The sequence below is a fragment of the Homo sapiens genome, chromosome 4, assembly GCF_000001405.40.
Source record: "Homo sapiens chromosome 4, GRCh38.p14 Primary Assembly".
NCBI lineage: Eukaryota > Metazoa > Chordata > Mammalia > Primates > Hominidae > Homo > Homo sapiens.
In genome coordinates, this window is record NC_000004.12 from 184,550,137 (window position 1) to 184,560,135 (window position 9,999).

At 41.2% G+C, this 9,999-nt stretch overlaps 1 pseudogene; it reads right to left on the bottom strand.

Annotated features, from left to right (window-relative positions):
• Window positions 8,757-9,702, bottom strand: LOC100129245 (GAR1 ribonucleoprotein homolog (yeast) pseudogene; annotated as a pseudogene).

The window sequence follows — 9,999 nt, forward strand, 5'->3', positions numbered from 1 at the left end:
GTGAAACTCTGTCTCTACTAAAAATACACAAATTAAATGGGTGTGGTGGCGGGCGCCTGTAATCCCAGCTACTTGGGAGGCTGAGCAAGGGGAACCATTTGAGCCCAGGAGGTGGAGGTTGCATTGAGCCGAGGTGACAGGGTGAGACTCCATCTCCAAAAAAAAAAAAAAAAAAAGAATATCGTAGCTCTAACACATACATAGAAAACTCATTCTATTAGAAATTAAATTATACTAATATTATTGACAATCACTTTTATAGCTGTCATTGTAAACTCAAAGACAAGAAATAAATTCATCACGAGAAAACATAAAACAAGTACTTAGCCTTATTGTTGAGTTGCCTTTTACTGAATGGTACCTCAGTTCTTGGGATAAAGTTTGAAACAGCAACTGGAAGGACAGCTTTAACTTGAAAACGGTTTTATTTTTAGAGTTGTCATGTTACAAAAGCTCTTCTCACATAGCTAAGCTGTTGGAAAGAGACCAGGTTTTGTGAAAGTTTTTCATTAAGTGTTTCATGTTATCATCACTGTAACCCCAAACAATGGCAAATGCTTCATAAGCCGCTGAAATGCCGATTCAGCTGATAAATTAATAAAATTCTCCTTCTTTAAAGTCCTAAGCCAGAAAACACTTGTTAACATTTTTAACAGGAATGAATGAAGATGGATGGACCACCCAAAGATGCTCCTATCCCAGGGTAATCTCCAAAGACAAAACATCAATTTCACTGTGTTTTTTGCTTACCCAGGTCAAGAGTTACCAATACCAAGACATCAAACTGCACAGAGATTGGACCTAGAGCAGCAGGAGGTAGTATATAAAACACCAATACTAGAGGGAATTAGGAGAGGGAGCAGAAAAATGATTCATCTGTAGCACGTGTGGTCTGCAAGTTGCAGGGTGTAGAATGTAGCTTGTGGATAGAGGAAGAGTATTAGAAAAAATTAATGCTCATTCAAGTTTATTTTATGAACTAGCCAAAAAGTCACACATGGATACTCACAGTAGGTAGAATAATCAGAGCAGAAATAGCACTTCTGGCACATAGTTATTGGGATTGAGGAAGAATTCATTTTAGCTTTAATTTTAAAATAGCTTTAATTACTTTTATTTTAATTAATTCTTCTAAAGCTTTTAATTTTAAAAAAGCTTTTAATTTTTATTGTGGAAAAACATACATAGCATAAAATTTGCCATTTTAACGATTTCTAAGTGCATAGTTCAGCGTCACTAAATACAATCACCTGATTGTACAACCGTCACCACCATCCATCATCTCTAGAGCTTTTTCCTTTTCAACTTCCCAAACTGAAACTCTGTACCCATTAAACAATAGCTCTTCATTACTCTATCCTCCCAGTACCTGGGAACCATCATTCTACTTCTGGTTTCTATGAAAATGACATTCTAGATATCTCATATAAGTGGAATCATGCAGTGTTTTTTGTATCCAGCTTCTTTCACTTAGCCTTATGTCAAGGCTCATCCATATCGTAGCATGTGTCAGAATGTCTCTTTTTAAGGCTAAGTAATATTCCACTGTATGTCTGTACCACATTTTGTTTATCCATTCCTCTGTCAATGAATGCTTCCACCTTTTGGCTATCATGAATAATGCTGCTATGCAAGTGAATTTGCAAATATCTGTTGAAGTCCCTGCTTTCAATTCTTATGGGTTTAAACCCAGAAGTGGACTTGATGACTCACAGGGTAATTCTATGTTCCAATTTTTTTAGGAGCCACTGTACTCTTTTTCCACCATGACTATACCACCGTAGAGTCCACCAGCAATGCACAGGAGTTCTGATTTGGCTACATCCTCACCAAAATGTATATTTCCTGTTTTTTTTGATAATTGCCATCTTAATGGGTATGAAGTAGTATCTTATTGTGGTTTTGATTTCCTTAGTAATCAGTGATGTTGAGCATCTTTTATGTGCTTGATGGCCATTTGTATATCTTCTTTGGGAAAATGTCTACGTAAGTCCTTTGAATATTTTTTAATTGGGTTGTTTATTTATTGTTGAGTTGTAGGAATTCTTTATATATTCTGGATATTGATCCCTTATCAAATATATTATTTGAAATATTTCCTTCCATTCTGCAGGTTGTCCTTTGATTGCACAAAAGTTTTAAATTTTGATGAAGTCCAGTTTACTTATCTTTTTCTTTTGTTGCCCATGCTTTTGGTGTCAGAAAGCTTTTAGCTTATAATTTTAAATATATCATGTTTCCTGCCTCATATGTACCACTGGACAAGGTCCCTTTTATGTGCTCAGCTTCTGTCAGAGGTCCATGTATTTTGAAGTGGAGAACAAAGATAATTGCAAAATTGGCATGGAGAACTAAGGTAATTATGAAAGTTCCAGACACAAAGAGAGAAGGTTCAATATGCCAGCAGTTCTCTACCAATCCATCCTGGAAGTCTTCTTTTAGGACTGCCTAAATAATGCAGGGGATGAGTGCAAGACACACAAGTGTTCCAGAAGCATGTAAACAAGATACCGAGAAGAGGATACGATAAAATAAGATGAGATAGGAATATTAGGAAAGCCCTTGTTCAGAAGGTTGCCTACAGAGGCAAAAGGGACAGTTTCACTTTGCTGAGGGAAACAGGGTGGTAAGAACCCTCACGGGGAAGACCTCTGCTTACCCTGACACAGAGAGAAGGTGTAAAATAACTTAATGGAAGACCATTAGGCTGAGATAGCTCCTATGGCCTGGGTTCCTACACAGACAAAATGAAACAAGCTTAGCCCGTCACAAGTGTCCGGATGAATATTACCTGTGTAATGAGAGGCCTTCCACCAGGATGGTTCAAATAATGCAACTGCCCAAATTTTCACCAAATAGTTTCTCTACTCCTACATTCACCCTATAAAAGCCTTCCCTACAAACACCACCAGTGCATCCTCCAACCAATTTCAGTTTGGCGCTGCCTGATCCATGAATCTCTGTCTGTTCAAATAAACTCTTTAAAATTCTAATATGCTTAAGTTTATCCTTTAAAAAAAAATTGAGATGGGATCTTCCTATGTTGCCCAGTCTGGTCTTGAACCCCTGAGCTTGAGGGATCATCCCATCTCAGCCTCCTGAGTAGCTGGGACTACAGAAATGTGCCCCCACACCCAGATTACATTTATCTTTAAACAAGAGTTTGACCCCTTTCTGAAATTTATTTATGTTAAGACATGAACCCTAGTGATATTGCAGGCTCATTTTAGACCATCAGACATTTTGGTCTCTGGACCACTATTTGCCGTTTGTGACCTGATCTCCTAAGAAATTCAAGTGTAATTCAAGTTAGTTTACCCTCTGCTGATCAGGGGAGGTTGCTCTGGGTGCAAGTTCAAGACAGGCACTCATGCCTTCCTACCAACTCCTCTGGAGATTCAACAGGGCAAATCTTGCTCTCTTGGGGCCTAGGACAGAGCAAGGCCTCCTTCTGGGGCTGAATCACTGAATTTCTTCCCAGCCCTGTGCCCTCCCTATATGAAGACACGGATGCTGGGTAGACAGTCACCAAAGACATGTCTCCCCTAGTGTCTGGACCCTTCACTGTATATCTCCTGGTCATTTCTGCTGACCAGACTACCCCCTCCCTGTGCTGACCTTGGAGAAGTGAAGCCTGCTCCCAAGGTACCTAGACTTTTTGCTGCTTTACAATCACACAGTTTCACCTGGGATAGGAGATGGCAGGAAAATCATCAGTGATTTCTGTTCCCCTCCGAGGGTCTCTAGATAATTTGATCATTGCCTCCCAAGGCTTTATTACCTGGCCAGTCTCCTGGAGAGATGAGAAATATTTCCACTGAGGACAGGATGCACTGCCTGACATGAGCTTATTGCAAGTTAAGTCTCCAACGTGGTTCAGAAAGGCCATCTGCCTTCTGCTCAGATCTGCTGCTCATGGGTTGAGTGCTCCTGACAGGTACACAAGTCTTCCACTCCAAAGCCCAGACCAGGAGAGGGGTGGCTTCACCAGTGGAGGGCACCAGGCTCTGTGATGAGCCGGGAACTGGAATGCGGCCACCTAGGCAGAAGTGGAGGTGATGGAGATACTGAGTGGCAGGGAGAGTAAGACCCTTGGTATGAAGAGCATTCATCATGGTATTTAAGTGACGACACCTGGAAGCCATGAAATTCACTAAAATCAATCTGTTGTAGATCACCAGTGATTTATAATTGTGTAATTTGATTTTTGTTTTTTCCTTCTAGCAAAACTTCCTTGTAGCCAGCAGGGTGGGAACTGAGGGAGGTGGTACCAGCCTAGTAAACCATGCAAGTTTCTAGTTGAGAGTTTCGGCCAAATTTCCATAAATTAGCCACACGAGCCTTTACAGAGGGCCAAAATCCAAACCTCTGACCTGTCGTCTCCTGACCCTGCTTTTAACCCCATATCTCTCCCACCTGTTTCCTTCCCACGCTCCTCTATTCTACAAAAATTCAACTGGGGTCTGTTTTTCTTTCATCAGAGTCAAGCCCTCTGGAGAAGGCAAAAATAAAGCATGAGAAGGGAGAAGAGCATGAAGGTTGGCTGTATGGTTACGACAAAAAGCAAACAAACAACAACAAAAATAATAAATCATATTGCCTGCAAGTGAGTCTACCAGGAATTTTTGCTGCATTTACAATATTTTTAGGAAGGAAAAAAATAAGTACAGTACTATGATTTTTATTTTACAGATAGAAAACCTAAGATGTATAATTTTTTCCCCAAAGTCACACTGTTAAAAACAAATCGAACAGTATAATATTAGGTATTTTGGGGAAGAATGTGGAGAATAAACAAACTGTTCATGGAACTTGAGTCTTCTGACTTCCAGATCAGATTCAGTTAAAAACACTATTACATAGTCCTCAGTCTTTGTGTCAAAATGGAGATGCACTGGCCTGGGCAACATAAGAAGACTCTGTCTCTACAAAAAAACAGTTTTTTTAATTAGCCAGACGTGGTGGTGGCCAGGCTGGTCTTAAACTCCTGAGCTCAAGGGATCCTCCTGCCTCAGCCTCCTGAGTAGCTGGGACTACAGACATGTGCCTCCACATCCAGCTTACATTTATCTTTAAACAAGGGTTTGACCCCTTTCTGAAATTTACTTGAGTTAAGACATGAACCCTAAGTTATACTGCAAGCTCATTTTAGACCGTCGGGCACTCTGGTCTCAGAAGGCTAAGGCAGGAAGATCACTTGAGCCTGGGAGGTCAAGGTTGCAGTGAGCCATGATCATGCCAGTACACTCCAGCCTGGGCAACAGAGTGAGACCCTGTCTCAAAAAAAAAAAAAAAAAAAAAAAAAAAAAAAAAAAGTAGATGAGTCTGAATACACTAATTGCTAATCTGTGCTGTAGGCAGGTTTCTGATTGATTCATCTTTGAAAATCTTATCTACTTGTTTAAGTCAGTTGGTTTCCCTGAAACATGATACTGGTTGCCTAATACCAACAGTTGCTATTCAATATCTTTTTCTTTTTTTTTCTCAAGAGATAGCAGAGAAAATGACCTTTGCATTTTAGGGTGGGTTTTATTTGCTCATATGTAAACATCTATATCACACATCGTTTGATGTAAAAAATGTTTGCCAAATGAAAAAGCATGCCATGCTCATGGATTGGAAGGATCAATATCGTTAAAATGGCCATACTGCCCAAAGCAATTTACAAATTCAATGCTATTCCTATCAAACTACCAATGTCATTTTTCACAGAGTTAGCAGAAGCTATTTTAAAATTCATATGGAACCAAAAAAGAGCCCAGCTAGCCAAAGCAATCCTAAGCAAAAAGAACAAAGCTGGAAGCATTACATTACTGAACTTCAAACTATACTATAAGCCTACAGTACCCAAAACAGCATGGTTCTGGTGCAAACAGAGACCAGTGTAACAGCATAAAGAGCCCAGAAATAAATCCACACACCTACAGCCCTCTGATGTTTGACAAAGTCAACAAAAATAAGCATTGAGGAAAGGACTCCCTGTTCAATAAATGGTGCTGGGATAACTGGCCAGTCATATGCAGAAGAATGAAATAGGACCCCTACCTTTCACTATATTAAAAAATTAACTCAAAATGGATTAATTATTTAAATGTAAACCTCAAACTATAAGAATTCAAGAAAACCTAGGAAATACCATTCTGGACATCAGCCTTGCGGAAGAATTTGTGACTAAGTCCTCCAAAGCAATTGCCACAAAAACAAAAATTGGTAAGTGGGACCTAATTAAAACTTTTTAGGGCGGGGTGGAGTCTCATGCTGTCTCCCAGGCTGAAGTGCAGTGGCACAATCTCAGCTCACTGCAACCTCCGCCTCCCGGGCTCAAGTGATTTGCCCCCCTACAGGTGCACACCACCATGCCTGGCTAATTTTTTTTTCTTTTTAGAGATGAGGTTTCACCATGTTGCCTAGGCAGGTCCCAGACTCCTGGGCTCAAACATTCCCCTCACCTCTGCCTTCCAAAGTGCTGGGATTACAGGCATGAGCCACCATGCCCAGCCAGGACCTGACTAAAGAGCTTCTGCACAGCAAGAGAAACTATCAACAAAGTAAACAGACAACCTACAGAGTGGGAGAAAATATTCACAAACTATGCATCTGATGAAGGTCTAATATCCAAATCTATAGGGAACTAAATTCAACAAGCAAAAAGCAACCCCATTAAAAAGGAGGCAAAAGACATGCAGAGACACTTCTCAAAAGAAAATATACAAGAAGTCAACAAACATGGAAATGCTCAATATCACTAGCCATCAGAAATATGCAAATCCAAACTACAGTGAGATACCATCTCACACCAGTCACAATGACTATTATTAAAAAGTCAAAAAATAGGCCTGGTGCAGTGGCTCACGCCTGTAATCCCAGCACTTTGGGAGGTGGAGGCGGGCGGATCCTGAGGTCAGGAGATTGAGACCATCCTGGCTAACACAGTGAAACCACGTCTCTACTAAAAATACAAAATATTAGCCAGGCGTGGTGGCACGCACCTGTAGTCCCAGCTACTTGGGAGGCTGATGCAGGAGAATCGCCTGAACCCGGGAGGCGGAGGTTGCAGTGAGCCAAGATCGTGCCACTGCACTCCAGCCTGGGCGACAGAGCAAGACTCCGTCTCAAAAAAAAAGTCTAAAAATAACAGAGGCTGGTGAGGCGGAGGAGAAAGGGGAACACTTATGCACTGCTGGTAGGAATGGTAAATTAGTTCAGCCACTGTGGAAAGCTGTTTTCAGACTTTCCAAAGAACTCAAAACAGAACTACCATTTGCCTCAGCAATCCCATTACTGCATAAACATATCCAAAGGAAAATAAACTATTCTGCCAAAAAGACACATGCACTGGTATGTTCATCGCAGCACTATTCACAATAGCAAAGACATGAAATCCACCTAAATGCCCATCAACAGTGGACTGGGAAAAGAAAATGTGGCACATATACACCATGGAATACTATGCAACCATAAAAAGAAAGAATCATGTCCTCTGTAGCAACGTGGGTGCAGCTAGAAGACACCACCCTAAGTGAACTAACACAGGGAGAGAAAACCAAATACTGCATGTTCTCACTTATGCGTGGGTACTCATGGACATAAAGTTAGCAACAATAGACACCAGGGACTACTAGAGGGGAAGGGAGGGAGAGGGGGACAGGGGTTAAAAAACTATCGGTTGCTATGCCTACTACCTGGGCGATGGGATCATTCATACCCCAACTCTCAGCATCACACAATACACCAGTGTAATAAATCTGCATAGGTACCCTCCCGAATCTAAAATAAACATTGAAATTAACTAATTTTTTTTTTCTTTTTGAGACGGAGTCTTGCTCTTGTCGCCCAGGCTAGAGTGCAATGGCATGATCTCGGCTCACTGCAACCTCTACCTCCCAGATTCAAGCGATTCTCCTGCCTCACCCTCCTGAGCAGCTGGGATTACAGGCGCCTGCCACCATGCCCGGCTAATTTTTGTATTTTTAGTAGAGACGGGGTATGCCATATTGGCCAGGCTGGTCTTGAACCCCTGACCTCGTGATCTGCCTGCTTCAGCCTCCCAAAGTGCTGGGAGTACAGGTGTGAGCCACTGGGCCCGGCCAAGATTAATTAAAATTTTAATTTCATCTTATTAAAAAACAAAGATAAATTTACTCCTTTCCATTTTCAATATGCATTATACTGACAGACATACTGTATTCTATGGTGAATTATATTGATTGAATTTCACATCTTAAACTAACACTGAGTTACCGTGAAAAACTCCATTGGATCATAATGTAGTATGTTTTTAATATATTTTAATACAATTTACAAAAATTCTGTTTTAAAATTACAACTATGTTCCATAAATAAATATGTAAAAAATAAAAAATGTTTGTATTATTCAAGTGAAGATTATAGAGATCTTTTTTTTAAGGGAATAAAACACTTTATTTTAAAAATTCAGGCCCGGTGCAGTGGCTCACGCCTGTAATCCCAGCAATTTGGGAGGCCGAGGCGGGCGGATCACGAGGTCAGGGGTTTGAGACCAGCCTGACCAACATGGTGAAACCCCGTCTCTACTAAAAATCTAAAAATTAGCTGGGCGTGGTGGCGGGTGCCTGTAATCCCAGCTACTCAGGAGGCTGAGGCAGGAGAATTGCTTGAACCCAGGAGGCGGAAGTTGCAGTGAGCTGAGATCGCGCCACTGCACTCCAGCCTGGGCGACAGAGCGAGACCCTGTCTCAAAAAATAACAAAATAAATAAAAAATAAAAATAAAATAAATAAAAATTCAAATATGCTTCTAATGAAAACTCCTGTCCATTTATTAAGCACCCACAGAGTGCCAGGCACCGTACAAAACATTAGAAAGACTTGTTCATGCTCTTTTAGAGCAAAATTCACTATTCCGTGGCACTTTGCATGATGCTGACATTTTAGATCCATTGTCATAAAATGACCAAGATCTTCAAGACTTGCTCGAGAAACAAGTTTCCAATCCATAGTAGAAACAGATCACGCAGGTTAATGCAGAAGGCAACTGGTGATATCTGTCAACTGTTTCACTTAACGTCCTCTCCCTCTGAAACCACCACCTCCTCTTCCACCTCTAAAACCACCGCTTCTGCCACTGCCTCTGCCACCTCCCCTTCTTCCTCCTCGGCCTCCCCTGCCACCACATCTTGGAGGTCCTTTCTCACCTGGAGGCCGAGGTAAAAACCTCTGCAGTGGCAGCAGCTCATATGGGTCTATATAAAACTTCCAGAGTTTTTTAAAGGATGAAGCCTTCTCGTTTTCTGACATTTTAACGGAAAAATAAAAATCTCTAAGTTGTCCAAATATTTCATCCGCTTTTCCAATTTGTTCTTTGTTTTCTAAGTAAACAGGAGCATTGAAATAAGACACCTTATTTTCATCTGCCGTACGTTTACAAACTATGTCATCTTCACAGGGATGCAGGAACTCTCCTAACAAGACTGCACGTTCTGGAGGTCCTTGGCCTTGGCCTTTGTCAAAGCCTCCGTGGCCACCCCCTCATCCAAATCCTCCCCTGTCGCCACCTCTGATATTTCCACCGCCTGCACCTCAGAAGCGGTTGCTGCTGCTGCCGCGGTTGAAACCGCCACCTCCACCACCTCGATCAAAGCCTCCACGACCTCCGCCCGGAAGAGACATTCTCTGTCTTCCCAGCGCCATGTGCACCTCTGGCCCTGGTCTTCAACACACACCCCTAGAGATCTTTTTGAACATATACTTGATCTCAACTAGCTTTAAATTCAGAAGTAGCAACTCCATAGCAATTCAACTTATTTCTACCTTATTAATCATACTGGTCACCTCGAAGAAGCTTCATTGCTATCATCCAGTTTAGACTGGAATATCATAAATCTCTAGACTGAGTAGCATAATACTCACTATTCAAATAAAATCAAATTTTATAATGTTATGACACCTCCAAATACAAAAAGCAAACCCATGGATGTTAGGTTAAGGTATAGAGACAAGTATTCCTACTTACTATCTTTTA